This window comes from Homo sapiens, chromosome 10, assembly GCF_000001405.40.
Source record: "Homo sapiens chromosome 10, GRCh38.p14 Primary Assembly".
Taxonomy (NCBI): Eukaryota; Metazoa; Chordata; class Mammalia; order Primates; family Hominidae; genus Homo; species Homo sapiens.
In genome coordinates this window covers 28,984,858-29,005,211 of record NC_000010.11, presented here as the reverse complement: position 1 = coordinate 29,005,211, position 20,354 = coordinate 28,984,858, and the positions used below count along the sequence as shown (strand labels likewise).

General features: G+C 43.2%; 4 annotated features.

Annotated features, from left to right (window-relative positions):
* Window positions 13,118-13,412: a silencer, noted in NCBI's record as "tiled region #2956; HepG2 Repressive DNase matched - State 8:EnhW". NCBI's record gives its function as "represses a minimal TATA promoter and a strong SV40 promoter by Sharpr-MPRA in HepG2 cells {active_cell/tissue: HepG2}" and the evidence as "EXISTENCE:reporter gene assay evidence [ECO:0000049][PMID:27701403]".
* Window positions 13,118-14,356: a biological region, named in NCBI's record as "CDK7 strongly-dependent group 2 enhancer GRCh37_chr10:29279785-29280984".
* Window positions 13,157-14,356: an enhancer, noted in NCBI's record as "CDK7 strongly-dependent group 2 enhancer chr10:29279785-29280984 (GRCh37/hg19 assembly coordinates)". NCBI's record gives its function as "activates an origin of replication core promoter dependent on BRD2, BRD4, P300/CBP, MED14 and CDK7 cofactors, with strong dependence on CDK7, by STARR-seq in HCT116 cells {active_cell/tissue: HCT116}" and the evidence as "EXISTENCE:reporter gene assay evidence [ECO:0000049][PMID:35650434]".
* Window positions 18,871-20,070: an enhancer, noted in NCBI's record as "CDK7 strongly-dependent group 2 enhancer chr10:29274071-29275270 (GRCh37/hg19 assembly coordinates)". NCBI's record gives its function as "activates an origin of replication core promoter dependent on BRD2, BRD4, P300/CBP, MED14 and CDK7 cofactors, with strong dependence on CDK7, by STARR-seq in HCT116 cells {active_cell/tissue: HCT116}" and the evidence as "EXISTENCE:reporter gene assay evidence [ECO:0000049][PMID:35650434]".

Sequence of the window (20,354 nt, the reverse complement as noted above, 5' to 3'; positions counted from 1 at the left end):
ATAGCATTGGGAGATATACCTAATGCTAGATGACGAATTAGTGGGTGCAGCGCACCAGCATGGCACATGTATACATATGTAACTAACCTGCACATTGTAAACATGTACCCTAAAACTTAAAGTATAATAATAATAAATTAATTTAAAAAAAATGCTTCAGGAGAAGAGCAAAAGGTAAAATTTACAAAAAATATACAAATGGCCAATAAATATTTGAAAATCTGGTGAGCCCTACAAACGTTACCGAAAGGATGCAGCAATGAGATGCCTACTAAATTGATTTAAGTTTTAAAAAAATGATTATACCCTTTGTAGTTGATCTTTGGGGAAATAGATACTATCTTACATTTCTGGGAGAAGTATACATCGGTGTGGTATTGCTAAAAAAGATAACTTGGAAACAGCATAAATAGGGGACAACAGGAAATCAATTAATTAATTGGATTATGTAACATATATGGAATGAAATATAATAAAACCATTAAAAATATTGTTATAGAAAAATATTTAATGGCACAGAAAATGAAATGAGCTATTAGTAATAAAGTGTACTATCAACAAAAAAAAAACATGAGCTATTAATAATAAATAATTGAAGGCCAGGTGCAGTGGCTCATGCCTGTAATCCCAGCAATTTGGGAGGCTGAGGTGGGTGGATCACCTGAGATCAGGAGTTCGAGACCAGCCTGGCCAACATGGTGAAACTCTGTCTCTACTAAAAATACAAAAAAATTAGCCAGGGGTGGTGGTGCATGCCTGTAATCCCAGCTACCCAGAAGGGTGAGGCAGAAGAATCGCTTGAACCCAGGAGGTGGAGGTTGCAGTGAGCCGAGATCGCGCCACTGCACTCCAGCCTGGGCAACAAGAGAGAAACTCTGTCTCAATAATAATAATAATAAATAATTGTAGGAAAAAGTACAGTTATGCATTACTTAATGACAGATATATTCTGAGAAATGCATTGTTAGATGATTCCTTCATTGTGCAAATGAAATATGTCATCTAGGTTTGTGTGTAATAATAATAAATTGTGCTATTAATAATAATAAATGAGCTATGAATAATACATAACTGTAAGAAAAAATACAATTGTACATTAGTTAATGTCAGAGATACATTTGAGAAATGCATTGTTAGATGATTCCCTCATTGTGCAAATAAAATATACCATCTAGGTTTGTGTGTACTTAACAAAAACCTAGATAGCAGAGCCTACCGCACACCCAGGCTATACGGTACAGCCTTTTGCTTCTAGGCTATATACCTGTGTAGCATGCTACAGTACTGGATACTCTAGGCAACTGGAGCACAATGGTAAGTATCTGTGTATCTAAACGTATCTAAACACAGAAAGGTAATGCATCACACATTAACACGACTACGTGATAGGAATTTTCCAGCTCCATTACAATCTTATGGAACCACCATCATACATACAGTCCGTTGTTGACCAGAAAGAACATTGTCATGCAGGGCATGACTGTATAGAAATATACGTAAATTTCATAAAAGATATATTGCCTTTGTGATCGGAACAAAAGCCAAGTGTTTCATATTTTTCATGTTTAAAATAAAAACAGGCCGCGCACAGTGGCGCACAGTGGCTCACGCATGTAATCCCAGCACTTTGGGAGGCCGAGGCAGGTGGATAATGAGGTCAGGAGTTTCGAGACCAGCCTGACCAACATGGTGAAACCCTGTCTCTACTAAAAATAAAAAAATTATCCAGGCATGGTAGCGCACGCCTGTAATCCCAGCTACTCAGGAGGCTGAGGCGGGAGAATCACTTGAACCTGGGAGGCGGAGGTTGTGGTGAGCCGAGATCGCGCCACTGGACTCCAGCCTGGGCGACAGAGCAGACTCTGTCTCAAAATAAAATATAAAATAAAATAAAATAAAATAAAATAAAATAAAATAAAATAAAATAAAATAAAATAAAATAAAATAAAATAAAATAAAATAAATAAAATAAAATAAATAAATAAATAAAATAAAATAAATAAAATAAAATAAAATATAAAATAAAATAAAATAATAAAATAAAAAAATAAAATAAAATAAAATAAAATAAAATATAAAATAAAATAAGATAAAATAAGATAAAATAAAATAAATAAAATAAAATAAATAAATAAAATAAAAACAGTGTATTATATTTGTGGATCTTTCATGAGGCCTTTTTTTGGAAACAGAAAATAACAAAGTCTCCTCTTTCAGTACTTTAGTACTAATTAGGAATAATTCTTCAGGCAATGAGTGGCAATTTTCTTGGGTGACTTGTATCAATAGGCAGATAAACTATATTACCTGCCAGTAGATCAGAAAATGCCTTTGACCAAGGAGGCAAGTTCTCAGTCATGGTGGCATGGCAGTCATAAAAGTACCCATTAGAGTCTGCCAGTCTTTGGCCTTGGATTTAGTTATAGAAAACATTCTCTGGGGTGTTGAGTAAAGGGTCTTAGGTCAGGGAAGGGAAAATGTGCACAAGAAAAGGGAAAGGTGGAGGCCGTGTGGCTATCAGCGTGGCCCCTGCCGCCCGCATGAGAGCTGACATTCTCCGTCCTCTGCACCTCTACATGAAGAAGGCAAGCACTGAAGACCTCAAGCAGCACCAGTCACCGGGAATGGCTTGCTAGAAAGTTCTTATGCTCATTGTACATGAGCCTGCTTAGAAAGATGCTTCCTCGGGCAGCTAGGCTGTAACTGACATGATGTGTTTCTGCGCTGCCAATTCGAGAGCTCAGCCTGAGTGTTCAGCCGCAGGATCTGGAACGTGTTGAGTCCATGCGGTCCCAGCTTCCTCGGCGCAGCTGCCCAAGGATGCTGGAAGGGCTGAGAGGGTGCTTTCATGTTGGTTTAGATTTTACTTGCTCAGAGCCTGGAAGCATGAGTTTAGCTACATTCCTGAAAGCACTGACATCTTTTTCCCAGCCCCGCCTAAAAAGAGAGCCCGTCTGCCTTTCTCCCCACCCAAAGTCCCCTTCGCCTGCCACGCCAGAGACTGAACCTGGACTCTAACTCTATGATGTTTCTCCATAGAGCTGCAGAGTCCGCACCTGGTAATCTGCTCATTTTAACCTGCCTAACCACCTACTTAACCAAACTGAGGATGCCTCAGTTCATCTGAGAGCCTAAATTGAAGTGTGTGCGGAAACCAGGCATGCGCACGTCCATCCTCAAAGTGTAGCAACATCTTGTTGACCCACATCCCAGGACCTGAAACTAAGCTGAAAAAAATCTCTAGGAGCAAATGCCAAATGTGGAAAACAGCCTCATTCCCTTGCATTGTGTGCTTCTGGTGATGGGAGCAGTCAGAATCTACAGTGAAAACCGCTCTCCTCAGTGCTACTGATATGGGGAAATTAGGCTAAGGCAGGAGGACTGCTTGAGGCGAGGAGTTCAAGACCAGTCTGAGCAACATAGTGAGTCCCCATATCTACAAAAAAATAATAAATTAGTAAATTAGTTGGGTATGGTGGTGCGGGCCTGTAGTCTCAGCTACTCAGGGCACTGAGGCTAGAGGATTGCTTGAGCCCAGGAGTTCAAGGCTGCAGTGAGCCAGCATGGTACCACTGCACTCTGCCTGGGTGGAAATTTAATTAACAAGTAAATAAAATAAAATAAAATACTGAGGGTCTGGAGGGACCAGAGGCATGTTTTTTTCCTACTTCCCTCCTAATGTTGGCACCTTCCTTCTGCTATCCCTGAAAATATGATGCAGCCTCTCATTTGCAGAGCTCTACTAACTGTGTGCTCATCACCTTTCAAAGTGGCTCTGTCCACAGGCAGCTCTGATGGTTTGAAAGGGCGCCTCTCTGTTTAATTGAAATCTGGCTTTCCAAATCTCACCCACTGCTTCTAGCTCTGCCTTCCTGGAAGACTGAAAGGTAGAAAATCAAATTTCCATTCATGGTATTAATTATAATATTGGTGTGGCTTTAGAGATGGCAAAGGTAAGAAAATACAGAAGTGATAGAGCAATTGCAAGATGACCCACTGAAAATCCTTATCAAGCTGTTTGGAAGCAAATGCTCACAGCTGATAAATAACTGGGAGGTGGCCATGAGAACTGGGCATTGACCGTAAGGTAAAGAATTGAAAACCTCACTAATCATCAGAAAGATGTAAATTAAAACCACAAGGAGGTATCACCTCACATCAGTCAGAATGGCTACTATTAAAAAGTCAAAAAATGACAGATGTTGGTGAGGTTTTGGAGGAAAGGGAATGTGTATACACTGTTGGTGGGAATGTAAATTAGTTACCCCTGTGGAAAGCAGTTTTGATATTTCTAAAAGAACTAAAAACAGAACTATCATTCAACCCAGCAATCTCAGGAAAATAAATTGTTCTATCAAAAAGAAACATGCACACGTATGTTCATTGCAGCACTATTGACAATAGCAAAGACATGGAATCAACTTAGATGCCCATCAATGGTGGACTGAATAGAGAAAATGTGGTACATATACACCATGGAATACTATGCAGCCATAAAAATGAATAAAATCATGTCCTTTGCAGCAACATGGATGCAGCTAGAGGCCATAATCCTAAGTGAATTAACACAGGAACAGAAATTAAATACTGCGTGTTCTCACTTAAAAGTGGGAGATAAATCTTGGGTTCACACAGAGATAAATATGGGAACTCCACAAGGGGGGGTGGGGGGCAAGGGCTGAAAACCTTCCTTTGGGGTACTGTGCTCGCTATCCGGGTGACAGGAGCAATAAAAGCCCAAACCTCAGTGTCACACAATATGCCCACATAACAAACGTGCACGTGTACCCCTGAATTTAAATTAAAATGGCAATTAAAAAAAGAAACCTACAACGCTCTAAGCAAGTTGCATTGCTTTGCTCAGCAGCCATTCCTTAGGATGGAAAGGCCCATAAAAAATTCATTAGTATAAATATTGTTTTCAGACTTTTTCCTCTCAAACAGTAGAAACATTATGGCTTGTAAATGTTAACATGATTAATGAACTATTACAAGGAGGTATGTATGTCACTGCCTCACATTTACTGCCTCAAAGTTATTTCTAAAAATAAATGTGAACAGACGGGTTACTTATCCACATTGACTTCATCTTACACTTCTTATAGGTACGGAGGAAAAACAATAGAGAGAAACCCACAAATGCTAGAGAAAGCTGCATTTCTGCCTGGAGAGAATGCAGCCATCAACTGGGTGAGAGCAAGACAGTTTGGTTCCTTCCTTCTTTGATAACTTTTGCTAAAGGTCAAGGTGATCATTTCTGTATTTCTGACTAGTCTTCAAAACAAAACTACACAGAGGTCAAGGAAGCTCTAGCCAAGACTGATCTCTTTATTTCCAGGGCTTATGACTCCAGTTCCTTAGAAAATTCAAGAGAAGAATGGAGGCAAGTAAGTAGGTGTGATGGTTAATACTGAGTGTCAACTTGATTGGATTGAAGGATGCAAAGTGTTGTTCCTGGGTGTGTGTGAGGGTGTTGCCAAAGGAGATTAACATTTGAGTCAGTTGACTGGGAGAGGCAGACCCACCCTCAATCTGGGTGGGCACAATCTAATCAGCTGCCAGTGCAGCTAGGATAAAAGTGGGCAGAAGAACGTGGGAAGACTAGACTGGTTTAGTCTTCAGGCCTCCATCTTTCTCCCCTGCTGGATGCTTTCTGCCCTTGAACATCGGACTCCAAGTTCTTCAGCTTTGGGGCTCGGCCTGGCTTCCTTGCTCCTCAGCTTGCAGGCGGCCTGTTGTGGGACCTCACCTCGTGATTGTGTGGGTCAATACTCCCTAATAAACTCCCCTTTATATATACATCTATCCTATTAGTTCTGTCCCTCTAGAGAACCCTAATACAGTAGGGTACACCCTGGCTTCGCTTTGGCTGCATTTTCAAGGTTCAAAAAGTAGCTAAAAGAAAATTAACCTCCTTAGGGAAAGGAAAAGGCTCAGAGGTTTCTGTGAGTGTAGACTAGTAGAAGGCATTCTAGCAGCACTCACATTTTTGTTATAACCCATGTAAACTGTAAATGAGGTTCTTCTAATCCAGTATTTTGTGGTGAAATCATGTATCCAGCCTTAGCAGCGGCATGAAGCCTTCAGGGCTGGAAAGTTGTTTATTATTATCTTAGCGCCTTCATTATTACATCTGCAAACCTTGGAGCTTAGTGTTTGTATGCAAATAGCCCCACCATTACATTGTTTTTTTTCTTTTTCTCCTTTAACAACTTTGCAAGCTCTTTAAGGATGCAGCCGACTATAGACGCCTGTGTGCCCAGGGCAAGAATAATGTTTCCCAGAGAGTGGACAATCAATAAATATTTGTAGAGTGAACAAATTCTTTTTTTTTTTTTTTTTGCCGAATGTCCCACATTTATTTACATATGAAATGTGTTTCATGCAGTTATGATGGATGGAGTGCATAACACCTGACAGCAGCAAGACCTTTTGAGGAACCGAACGTTGACTACAGTATATCATGCAAGTATCTATGTATACACAAAAGAATTCCTTTTCTTAAAAAAAAAAGAAATACAAAACATGTTCAGGATAAATACAAGATATAAAATGCGAAAGAAAACACAAAACAAAACAAAAAAATAGAACTCTCTCAGAGAACTGTAAACGGAAGGGACAAAAGAGTACCTCTGCGGCATTTTAATAAAGCAGAACTACCGACGTTAAATATACTTCTTGAAATGGCTGAACTAAACCCTGGTGGCTCAGTGCTTAAGGTAACGGCCAATTGCAATACACAGGCAGCTGCACTGATAAGTCGGTGGTTGAAGTCGTGCATCCTGACTCTAAGTACCAGAACGTTTGGCAGTAGCACCCACAACAGGAAACGCCAACTCTTTTGACAGCAAAGGGTTAAGTCAACTGATTTTTTGTCAAGAGCCAGAGAAATGCTTGATATTCTTAGTTGTGTTTCTGTAATAGTTAATAAATTACATGACAAAAACCTGACTATATAAATCTATTGGTCTAACTACGTATTTGTAACTTTTATAGTAGTCCAGCCCTCTCGTTACTTTCCCTCCTTGTGCTCTTAAAGCCAGTCTTGCAGATGTGCCGAGAAAACAAGTCCCATTTTTTTTCTTTAGAATAGCCTTCCCCATTCCTCAAAATGGAACTGAGGAAATCAGCATTCCTTATTAGATTCCTGGCTTCAGTTTTTATTCACGGCTGGGAAAGGAGCGACCGGCAAGACTGCTTTAAACACTCTTCGGCGTGGCCTGAAGACAAAGGCACGCCCACACTGGAGTGCAGTTGTCTCAAATGTGAACTCTGAGTGAACAAATTCTTGAGGAAGGGAGCATTTACACAATGCAGTTATGGGAAGGGAGATCTACAAATGCTTTCAAATGAAATGTGTACTTGCAAATTCTTCTTGAGTGAACAAACATGTACAAGGCCACAGTGCTCCCAAGATGTACAGCTCCCAGGGACCTCATTCTCATAGACTATAAATGATTAGCCCTCCTTATTTTTTTTTTTAAGTCTTAATGGGTTGAAATGAGAAGAAAATGGAGAATTGTTTTCATTTCTCAGTAGAGAAGTCCTTTGGCCACTACAACTGTAACAACAACGCACTCAAGTTGCTCAATCTATGCCTTTGTTTCATGAAATATCAAAGCAAATATCTGTTTCTAGAAATCTCTAGGGCTTAGTAGAAAAGATGATCGCTGAAGATCCAGAAACTATTGACTTTGCCAGAGCACAGTATATTCACTGGGCAACCATTGTCAATACTTGAAAATGCACACAGGCGGAAAATATTAAAGGGTGACATGATTTCAGCAAGTTTCTTTTAGAGTCAACACAAAGAGGCAATGGAAACAATGCAGGAAAGAATCAATGCAGGACAGTGTCTCCAAGTAGATTACAGACAAAGGGCACCTGTTTGGGAACTGAGACTCGCAACCTGTAGGAACACAACCTCAACCAGGCTGCATGGACGGATTGAAACAAAGCACAATAGACCCATCTGAGGAAAGGTAAGTGGCCGCATGCAGAGGGTATCCAGAAATGAACCTTGCTTAGCAAGGGACAGAAATAACATAGGCAAGCCTGAGTCACCTCTTACTCAGATAAAATAAGCATCCCATTAAGAGGTGACTATGTAGACCTTCAGGCTTGCCTATGCTATTTGTATCTCTTGCTACGCTAGGTTCATTTTTGGAGAGTTTGTGCATGTGGCCACTTACCTTTGCAAAGATGGGTCTGTTGTGCTTTGTTTCAGTACATCCATGCAGCCTGATTGAGGTTGTGTTCCTCAGATAAAATAAGCATCCCAGGGCTGGGTGTGGTGGCTCATGCCTATAATCCCAGCGCTTTAGGAGGCCGAGACAGGTGGATCACCTGAGGTCAGGAGTTCGAGACCAGCCTGGCCAACATGGTGAAAACTCGTCTCTACAAAAATACAAAAATTAGCTGGGCGTGGTGGCAGGCACCTGTAATCTCAGCTACTTGGGAGGCTGAGGCAGGAGAATCGCTTGAACCTGAAGGTGGAAGTTGCAGTGAGCCGAGATTTCGCCATTGCCCTCTTGCCTGGGTGACAAAGAGAGGCTCGGTCTCAAAAAAAAAAAAAAAGCATCCCAGGCCTCACTCATGCTTCTTAAAACCACCATGAATATAGACTATTCATCCAAAGAAAAGAAATTATAACACACGAAAAACCACATGAAAGTCACTCATAGAGAAAACAAGTATCTTTGAGATGAAACAAGAAGAGAATGCAAAGAATGTAGTAGGAGCATGAAATGGAATCGTTTTACCAAAAAGATAGAATAATGTCTTTGAAGAGTTTTACAACAAACTGCAAAACATTTTCCTCTTTCTAGTTAGGGGCTTGTCAAAGTATCTGATAAGAACTACCTGGAGTTTCAACTGAAGAATTCCCCCAAGTTGCTAAAGCTAGGACCTTCTTGTGAGACAGTCTTCACCAAATACTCCACATAAAACATGCAGAACACACAAGTGCAAAGGGAAGTGAAGTCAATGTACTTTTTAGAAATGGAAATATGCTAATTAGCCAATTTCTATTTCAACAAACCTCTTATGCTTAGACTCAGAGTAAGAAATGTCAATAGGAATGGTCCCACCTTTGTATCTGATTACACGACAAAGCCAGCAATATATTTAGAATCTTAGGCTTCTAAAGCTGAAAGGAAACTTAGAAAGCAACTCGGGCATTGTTGCAAAGAGTTTTGCTTTAATTTTCATATTCTGCAGAGTACAGAATGGCTTCAGTTGTTTGTCCAGGAATACAGTCTGCGGTTCTCCAGCCCAAGTCCTTCCCACCACAAGGCAGCAGGACTTTGTAGTATGCTTGTGTCACCCCAGCTGCAGGTTGCTCCATCTCATGAAGCAGCTTAAGAAAGTAATCTATCTATATTTGCAAGCTCACTAAATCAAGAAATAAATCAACCTGTGGAAAGGTAGAGAAGTGGGTCTCAATCTATGTGAAACCTTTGTTTTCGTAAGTCCAAGAAGACGATAAAATCTAGTATGGTGGTCATCACTCAAGAATGAAGGCTGATGAGAGATGGTTTCCCAGAACTGCTTTTGTTGAGATTTTCTTTCTCCTCAGTTCCCTTCGTACTTTTCAGATCCTTTTGTGAAATAAAGATTTTCCGCAATGGCTTAACATTGAGGTTTCTGTATCTGAAAATCATAGGAACTTTTTTTCACAGTATTTGAATATTTATTTCAGATTGGATCTTTCCATGTCCTGTACACCAGAAGGGAGGGAGTGGTGGAAAAAATGTAAATATTGAAGAAGCATGGGAAATAATTGATAAATCGAGATTCCAGGAAGATAGAAGGACAAAGCATCGAAACACAAATTGTAGCAATTCCACTCCTAGGTCTGTACCCAAAGAACAAAAGACTGCTACTCACACGAATGCAGACAGATGAATGCAGCACCATTCACAATAAGCAAAAGGTGGGATCAGCCAAATGTCCATTGATGGATGAATGGATAAATCAACTGTGGTACAGTACATGGTTTCTTTTCTCGCATTTATTAAAAATCAGATATCTGTTTGCTTGTTTAGCTGAATCTCCCCATAGCCAACAGGATTCTTGAGGGCAATACCTTTACCATTTTAATTATCAACTACTTACTCAGCACTGAACACTTATGGGTACTCACTAACATTGTGTTAGTTCCTTTGGTGATTGTAGTCATTCCTATTTCACAATCAACAGGAGAGAGACAAAAAAGCACTACTTGGGCCGGGTGCGGTGACTCACACCTGTAATCCGAGCACTTTGGGAGGTTGGGGCAGGAGGATTGCTTGAGGTCAGGAGTTTGAGACCAGCCCGGCCAACATGGTGAAACCCTGTCTCTACTAAAAAAAATACAAAAACTAGCCAGGCGTGGTGGTGGGCACCTGTAATCCCAGCTACTCAGGAGGCTGAGGCAGGAGAATTGCTTGAACCCAGGAGGCAGAGGTTGCAGTAAGCCAAGATCGAGCCACTGCACTCCAGCCTGGACAACAGAGCAAGACTCTCTCTGAAAAAAATTTAAAAAAATAAAAAAGCCTTCCTTGGTGTGGAAGGGTAGTGAAGAGGGCAGTCAAAGGAATTAACCAAAAAGTATGAGGAAGGAGGAAGATTAAGGGGATATGTACAGAGAGATGAGAAAAGGTAGAATTCATCAAAAGCTGAGTGATAAAGACAGAGGAAAAGTTAGCGGACCCCCAAATCAGCATCTGCCTACTCCCTGCCTGAACGCTCAGGGGTCCTCCCTTGGGAACCCTGTGGACAGCAGAAGAGCTCTCTATGACCTGGCCTGGGGGCCTTGATCACTTCCATGCCCTCAGTTGCAATATCCCACTTTCCTCTACAGAAGGGCTCTCATAGGCCTCTTGACTTTTCCTCTCTGCCTGGAAATTCCCTTGCTCACTTTGCCCTTGGCCAACTCATAAGGTTCCTCCATCTCTTGGCACCCACACTGACCCTCCATGAAGCCCCACTGGTCCTCCCCAGGACACACTTAGGGTCTCTTTCCCAGGCCTGATCCAAGTTGTATAGAGTCTGAAGTATGAAAGAAAAGAATCCAGAATTACAAATGAAAAATTAGGCATGAAAATGAACATTTATTTAGAATGAGTATAAAATCATAACATATCACAATAACATCTGACAAATTCCACAGATATTACAAAATCCACAGAAATAGTGACTGCCTCATATGCCTCTAGAATAGTTCTCTTTCCTCTACTTTTTAGCTGCAAACGCTGATCTCTTCTTCATAAAACAATTTTCTACCTTTTTTTTCTATACAGAGGATTAAAAAAGATCCACTCTCTTTGCTCTAACACTTTATGGTGATTTGCTTTAGCCTATAGATTGTTTGAAAACATGTCTTCCAGCTTCAAAACTCAGTAGTGATGTCATTGAAGACTGGGTCGGATGCGGTGGCTCACACCTGTAATCCCAGCACTTTGGGAGGCTGAGGTGGGCGGATCACCTGAGGTCAGGAGTTCGAGACCAGCCTGGCCAACATGGTGAAACCCCATCTCTACTAAAAATACAAAAATTAGCCGAGCGTGGTGGCAGGCACCTGTAATCCCAGCTACTTGGGAGGCTGAGGCAGGGGAATTGCTTGAACTTAGGAGGCAGAGGCTGCAGTGAGCCAAAATCGTGCCATTGCACTCCAACCTGGGGGACAAGAGTGAGACTTCGTCTCAAAAAAAAAAAAAAGTGTTGAAAACTGCTCCCACATCTGCAGAAGCCTCTCTCAAGTTTTCCCACAACCAAATCCTCTGCTTACAAAGTGACACGTCTGATAATTTGAAGAACATTCCGCAGACTAGCTTCTGGCTCCATCTATCTAAATCACGTTTCTCCTCCATTGTTCACCTAGCTCTGGTGTCCGGAGCTAGCAGACATGTTTAAATTGTGATGTAGCCTCTGATCATGAAGCTTTATGTCACAGCGTTGCTGAGTCAGAAAGGTGGGTGATAGAAGTATTTCTGGAAGCTGCTCCTACACAAGGAAGCCTGACAATAGCTTAACTATGAACCCATAAAAATATCTCACTAAACCCAGGGGCCGGGCATGGTGGCTCATGCCTGTATTCCCAGCACTTTGAGAGGCTGAGGTGGGCCGATCATCTGAGGTCAAGAGTTCGAGACCAGCCTGACCAACATGGAGAAACCCCGTCTCTACTAAAAATACAAAATTCGCCGGGTGTGGTGGCGCATGCCTGTAATCCTAGCTACTCGGGAGGCTGAGGCAGGAGAATCACTTGAACTCGGGAGGGGCAGGTTGCAGAGAGCTGAGATCGCGCCATTGCACTCCAGCCTGGGCAACAAGAGCAAAACTCCATCTCAAAAAAAGAAAAAAAAAAAACAAACAACAACAACAACAACAAAAAACCTCACTAAACCCAAATGAATTCTATCCCCAACTCAACCCTCCCTAAGCCAGTTCCAAAGACAACTTTTCCTGCTTCCATGTCCCCCAATAACAGGAGAAATATGACAGTAAGTGTTAGTGCAGAAGACAAGTGTAATCTTAACTGATTCCTTCAAAATGGGTTACTCCTGTAAATTTTATAAAAATCTATGACCATAGGCCAGGGATGGTGGCTAAGACCTATAATTCCAGCAATTTGGGAGGCTGAGGAGGAAGGATCACTTGAGGCCAGGAGTTTGAGACCAGTCTTGGCAACATAGCAAAACCCAGTCTGTACAAAAAATACAAAAATTAGCCAGGTGTGGTGGTGTGTACCTGTTATCCCAGCTACTCCGGAGGCTGAAACGAGAGGATCGCTTGACCCCAGGAGTTTGAGGCTGCAGTGAGCTGTGATCGCTACCGCACTCCAGCCTGGGTGACAGACCAAGACCCTGTCTGAAAAAAATATGTGTGTGTGTGTGTGTGTGTGTGTGTGTGTGTGTGTGTGTGTGTTATATGCACATGTGATATGGCCTCAGAAGGGGACCATGCAAATGAGAAGGCCCTGAAGTTGTGGCCTTCTTAGCTTCAATATCAACATGCCTTAGGTTCCTTTCCTGCTCCTCCCCCATGCTCTTGTACATACTTTTGTTATGACACAGTCATTGTGTAATTATAATCACTTGTTTGTCTGTTTCCTCACAGAATTGTGACCCCATGAAGGCAGGAACCCTATTTGTTCTATTGGTATCTCCAGCATCTAGCAAGATGCCTTGTGCATAGTAGTTAACCAATAAAAAGTGGTTGAATAAATGAATGAAGCACATTCATACTGAAGGTAAAGGTGTGTGATCAGAGAATCTCTCTCCGCAATGGCCACCAGGAGGAGCTGTTGGATGGCTCTGGATGGTTGGTGGGTGGGGTGGGGAAGAAAGGGGTAGAGAGAGAGTATGCAATTGGTAATTCTTCAAAAGGATACTTGAAATCAGGTTTGTGTAGTTCTGGACACAAGAAAGGCAACATGGGCCTTGTACCATCAAGCAATGGAAGTTGGAAAAAAAAAGAAAAAACAATCATCTCTGCTTTGGGGAATCACTGAATTGGCAAACCACCCCCATTTCCAACTTTTCTATGACCTGAGCCTTTGATGACAGCTAACATCAAATTGGGAGTATTCTGGAAACACCACGCCCAGGTCTGCGCCTTATATTTATAGAGCTTTTAGCACAAAGGCATTTTCTTCAAAGCACTTTAAGAGCTGGGCACACCCTGTCACACACATGAGCTCCATGAAAGGAATTGCAGCTTCACAGCAGCCCTGAGGCCTGAGCTGGCGAACAGGAATGCTTTGGAATACACTCCCTGGCCACAGGCGAGCAGCCCAGTTTGAAACTAGTGGGAAGAATGACATCAGGTGGGACCAGCCAAATCCCTGCTGAGGGGCCCGACCTGTATTTCTGCAAGAAAACCTTCGTCTTGATGATCATTGACCATGTACTAGACCCATACTTTATCTCCTTTAATCCTAACATTACCCCTATTGTGCAAATGAAGAAACTCCGAGGCAAAGAGAGGCAAAATAACTGACTTCAGGACCATCACCAGTAAGAGCCAAAGCTCTTTAACCTTGGTTAAAGCTCATCCCTCTCTACAATCATGTGCCTTTTGCTGCCGTTCTAATACATGATCTAAATGTATCAGAGAGAGGCTGACTCTAAGATCAGATGAGCCCAACATGGTTCTGGGTTGACTGTATTGCTTGACTTTGAGACCACCGTGACGGCCTTGGCATCATTCAAAAGCAGGCCCAAGTCCAGGAGTGGTGGCTCACACCTGTAGTCCCAGCATTTTGGGAAGCCAAGGTGGGAGGGTGGCTTCAGTCCAGAAGTTCAAGACCAGCCTGGGCAACACAACCCTTTCTCTATAAAAAATACAAAAACTAGCTGGGCATTGTGGCACGTGCCTGTAGTCCCAGTTACTTGAGAGGCTAAGGTGGGAGGATCACCTGAACCTGGGGAGATCAAGGCTGCAGTGAGCCGTGATCATGCCACTGCACTCCAGCCTGCAAAAACAGTGAGACCCTATCTCAGAAAAAACAAACAATCAAACAAACAACAACAACAACAATAAAAAACAAAAGCAGGGCCAAAAGAAGGAGGCCATCAAAGCCCACATTTTAGTCCATCAGTCAAGCCTTCTGGGGTCCCCATGAATCCCTGTTCTGGTTGTGGAGGGGATGATGTGTGTCATGTGTTGTCACAGCCAACCACAGCAAGAAGGGCTACAATTCCTTGTTGTCATTTTCCCCAACTTCAGTCCCCTCACTGAGAAAAACCAAGGCAAATCACTTCCAAGAGGCCAGCCCAACAGGATAGCACTAATTCCCCTAGTTACAAATGTCTCACACCCAGAAAGCCTCTTGTGCACATTGGGATTCTGGAAAAATGTCAAAACACCACATACAGTCTCTTTACCTGGAAAACAAGAGTATCCAAGTCAGGGCATTCATGGTGCCACCAGAGCAGTCTCCAATACCATGTATAGTTCCCAACACAATTCAATTTACCATGGAAACCTCGGTCATTTTCCTCCAGTAATTCCTCCTCTTAGAAAGAGCACAGATTCAAGTTCCAGCTCTGCCTCCTACTAGCCGTCTGACCTGGCAAGTTTCTTAACTTTGTCATCTGTAAAGTTCAGATAATATTGCTTACCTCACAGATGGTTATGCAAATGAGTGAAACAAATGACAGAAAGGTTAGGTCCATCAGATGATAATGATATTTAAATCTGTTTTCACTACTCTTAGTAACATTATCTTGGGCCAGGTCTCTAGTCCTGCATCAGTGATTTGTCTTTTGTTTTTGTTGTTGCTTTTTGGAGACAGAGTCTTGCTCGGTTGCCCAGTCTGGAGTGCCGTGACATGCTCACTGCACACTGCAGCTTCAACCACCCAGGCTCAAGCGATCCTCCTACTTCAGCCTCTCAAGTAGCTGGGGCTGCGGGCATGCACCACCATGCCCAGCTAATTTTTGTAGACAGGGCTTCACCATGTTGCCCAGGCTGGTCACGAACTCCTGAGCTCAAGTGATCCACCCATGTCAGCCCTCCAAAGTGCTGGGATTACAGGCATGAGCCACCGTGCCCAGCCCCTGATATGCCTTTATTGAGCACCTAATGTGTATGGACTCTGTCTATGAACTTACAGTAAAGTCAGAGACATTGAGGAACAGGTTAGTGTGAGACTGTGTATATGAAATAAAAAGAATTGGAAAACAGGAAGACCAGATAAATAAAATAGAAGGAAAGTTCCACTAGAGAGGTGAGACTTTAGCTGGGCTTCCAGGTGTAGTATTTCAGTAGGATAAACTTACCAGACTAGGGAAGAAGGTGTATGTTGGGAATTGCGGGGAGGCTTCAGGCCTGGTGAGTTCTTCAGAAGATGGGGACTTTTGTTCATTCAGAGTGAAACGGCCAGTGAGCATTTATAAAGTGTTGACCACTACTGATTTGTAGTGTTTGGTGATTTCTGTGGTGTTCATACTTCCACCATAGCTGATTTCCACCAATAAAGCTGAAAACAGGCAGGCCATGGTGGCTCACACTGGTAATCCCAGTGCTTTGGGACGCCGAGGTGGGAGGACTGCTTGAGCCCGGGAGTTCAAGACCAGCCTGGGCAACATAGTGAGATCCCATTTCTACAAAATACAAAATAAAAAGTAATCAGGCATGGTGGCATGCACCTGTGGTGCTAGCTACCTGAAAGGCTGAGGCGGGAGGATCACTTGAACCCGGGAGTTTGAGGCTGTAGTGAGCCATGATTGTACCACTGCACTCTAACAGCCTGGAGACAGAGCAAGACCTTATCTCCAAATAAATAAATAGATCAATAAAAAGAATAAAAGCAGAGTTGGGGAGAGATGTGCAGCAGCCTGGCATCGTACAGTATTCCTACCATGTGAATACAATACAGATCAACGGCCTCCGTAAAATGGAGTAAAATCAGGAAGCGTTGACTTCTAAATATTTATTACCTTGGTTTTTAATATAATTTAATAATAAGTTTATATTGTTTAATTTTTAGTAATGGTTGCATTTAACAACTAACTTGCAGAATTCCTGGAAACTTCATATTCGGCTCAGGTGATTTAACAAGCTGGCTCTGGCACACCAGTGGGGCAGCTGCAAAAATCCAGGAAAGAGATGCTCATGGCATGCACCAGGATGTGAGTTGGGAGGTGATGAAAAAAGGAAGGATTTGGGATATGTGTGTGTGTGTGTGTGTGTGTGTGTGTGTGTGTGTGTGTTTTGTTTTTTGAGACAGAGTCTTGCTCTGTTGCCCAGGCTGGAGTGCAGTGGTGCAATCTCAGCTCACTGCAACCTCCGCCTCCCGGGTTCAAGCAATTCTCGTGCCTCAGCCTCCAGAGTAGCTGGCGTTACAGCTGCCCACCACCACGCCCGGCTAATTTTTGTATTTTTAGTAGAAATGGGATTTTGTTATGTTGGCCAGGCTGGTCTCAAACTCCTGACCTCAAGTGATCCGCCCACCTCGGCCTCCCAAATCACTGGGATTACAGGCATGAGCCACCGTGCCCGGCCAGATTTTGGATATGTTATGAAGATAGAGCAGGGAGGATTTGCTGGTAGCCTGCATTTGGGATGGGGAGGAGGAGAGAGCTCAAAGGTGACTCACGGGGTTTTATTTTGTCTCACTCCCTGTCTTGGCTCCCCACGTCTCGTGGCGAACGAGCTTCTCTTTTCCTTCATGTGTGTCAAATCCTCCTTCTTCCTAAAATTAGCTCCAGCTCTACACTACAGGAGGCTTTGTGTCGTTTTCCTTTATATAAGAAAGGTTTTGAAAAAATTCTTGCTTTCCACCAAGGCATGTTTCTAAAACTATTTTTTTATTTGTGTAAAACAACATCCTTATTTTATTTAAATACATATGGGAGAAGAAAGAGAGATGTGAGGGGAAAGAAAGTGAAGGGGAAAAGGAGAAGTAGGAAGAAGAAGGGGAAGAGGAGAAGGAAGGAGAAAGGAGGAGAAGGAGGAAAGGGAAGAGGATGACGAGGAAAAAAGGAAGAGGAGGAGGAAAGACATACTGGAAGGGAGGGAAAGCAGACATTCCCTGGTGGCCCAGGACAGCAGCCAGGATGTATAAGCTCCAAGCCAGGAATGGGCCCTTTCACACTGGGCTCTATATTCTCATACATAATTTAAATCCGTTACAACAACGACGTATTGGTATTTGAATAATAAAAATCTATGGCCGGGCATGGTGGCTCACGCCTGTAATCCCAGCACTTTGGGAGGCCGAGGCAGGCAGATCACCTGAGATCAGGAGTTTGAGACCAGCCTGGGCAACATGGGGAAACCCCATCTCTTACTAAAAATATAAAAAATTAGCCAGGTGTGGGGGCAGGTGCCTGTAGTCCCAGCTACTTGGGAGACTGAGGCATGAGAATTGCTTGAACCCGGGAGGCGGAGGTTGTGGTGAGCCGAGATCATGCCACTGCACTCCAGTCTGAGCGACAGAGCAAGACTCTGTCTGAAATTTAAAAAACAAAAACCAAAAAACTAAAGAAACAGTGGGAGTCAAAAATAAAATATATTGTCACTAAATTCAGCTTTAAAGGAGGGAGAGATAAAGTCTTCTGAGGAGGAGGAGGGCCTGGCAGTGAAAGATGGGTCAGCAATGGTCCCTGAGCAGGCAGCATGGTGTCAGGTGTCAGGCATGGGACAGGAAGTTGGAAGACCCAAGTTCTACTCCAAAAGTCTCCCAGGCCGGAGAAACCTGGATCAACCCTTTAACAGTCTCTGCTTTGGGTGAGGAAATGCTCCTACGTAAAGTGGGAATAAAAATGCCACTTCCAGCAGGGCATGGTGTTGTGTACCTATAGTCCCAGCACTTTGGGAGGCTGATGCGGGAGGATCACTTGAGCTCAGGAGTTTGAAACCAGCCTGGGCAACAGAGCAAGACCATGTCTTAAAAAAAAAAAAAAAAAAAACCACTTTCATGCCTCAGATCATTGTATTGTGATGAGGATCACACGAGAGGACAAAAATAAAAATTGTGGAAGTCTTTTGAGAAGGATTTTGCACTTTACGCACATGAGCTTTTATGATAAATTGCTCGGGAGGTTGCCAAGAATTCATACAAAGAAACATGAACATCTTTCTAAGAAACTGGAAAATCCCAATGATAGTTCTTCATGTAATAGGGGTAGGACTGTTCCTCAGACTGGATGGAACCACCTAGACACGTCAGTGGCCTTCGGATAAGTCTTGAATCAATGTGATCTTTAGTCATTCTGACTCAGCGGACTTGACTTGGTACTTGACACACATGATGGAAAATAATTAGAGGGGACTTACCCATGGTCTAATGGGGAAAAGGAAGCTAAAATGATAATTTGAAGCTGGAAAACATTGATTGGCTTCCTCTCCCTTTCCAAAGCCTCCTCCCCAGAGCTCACTTCTTGGAGGACTGGATGGCAGGTGGAGATGGTGAACGGGGTCCTGGCCTACCTGGCAGAGCACTTAAATGGTCAGGGAGCATCAGCCCCCTTTGCTGGAGTCAGTCGAGTGTCCTTCAGCTCTGAGCGCTGCTGTGGGTTTTGAGCAGCCACGTGGCTCTCAGACGAGACATCTATTGACAACCTCAAAGGGCTCCTGCACTGATCAATAACAGCATGCCTCCCCTGCCTTCAGCTAAAAGCTAAAGAGACGGGCTGGTGCATATATGATCACTAGAATTTAATTATATATCACATTGATTTTTAATTAGAACTGTAGTGAGGACCTCCTCTATTAAAAAAAAATTCCAACTGGCAAATGGGTTTTACTCAATTTATCAAATAACTTGAAATGCACTGCTCCTTCTCACTTTTAAGCCTCTTGATGAGAAGGAAACCTGCTACGCAACCCCTGTCACGAGGGTGAAGACCTTGAAACCTGCTAGCATGTCTCGAACATTTTTATTCAAGTTCTGTGTTTTGGCATGTAAGCCAGACACCCAGAGGAGCAATGACAAGAGGCTTCCGTGTTATTTATAACTAAGTCCAATTAACACTGGAAAAGGTCCCATTGGCTCTGATCCTGTCTAATCTCTTTGAGAAGTAGGTCCAGTGACACAGCCTGGCTCTACAATCAGATCTAGCACCACACAGCTTGCCTCATCTGACCCCTGTTTTCCTGCAGAGCTAGGATGCCTCAAAGCTCTCCATGCACTTTCGCTTGGTTTTTCAAGGCTGCAAGGCAAGAGCTTTGCAAGCTGGAGGTAGACTACAGATCCAGAGCCACAACTTCATCCTTAGTAAAGGCCCTATCGGTGCTCACATTTGCAGAGAGTGCCTGAGAAACATGGGCGTTGTCCTCCAGAATCACCAGGTTTCTCTTCAAAGTTGCTCTGGGACCTAATGGAGTCACACAAGCTGGCTAGTTGCTCACTGTGCAAGGAAGAAGAGGCTCAGATGTCAGCACCAGTCAATACTGCTGACCAAGGCACATCCAGTCACACAGCGTAGCCAGGATTCCCTCCAGTGAGGAGCCTAATGGATGTGATCTATAGTCACAATAATATTAGTGTTACCTACATCCCAGGCACTGCACAAAACTCTTTGCACAGTTTGTCTTCTTTATCCGTAGTTCAGAACTGTGAGATGGATCTTCATTTTGCAAATAAGAAAACTATGACTTAGGCCGGGCGCAGTGGCTCACGCCTGTAATCCCAGCACTTTAGGAGGCCAAGGCAGGTGGATCACCTGAGGTTGAGAGTTTCAGACCAGCCTGACCAACACGGTGAAACTCTGTCTCTACTAAAAATACAAAATTAGCAGGGCGTGGTGGCGCATGCCTGTAATCCCAGCTACTCAGAAGGCTGAGGCAGGAGAATTGCTTGAACCCGGGAGGCAGAGGTTGCGGTGAGCCGAGATGGCGCCATTGCACTCCAGCCTGGGTGG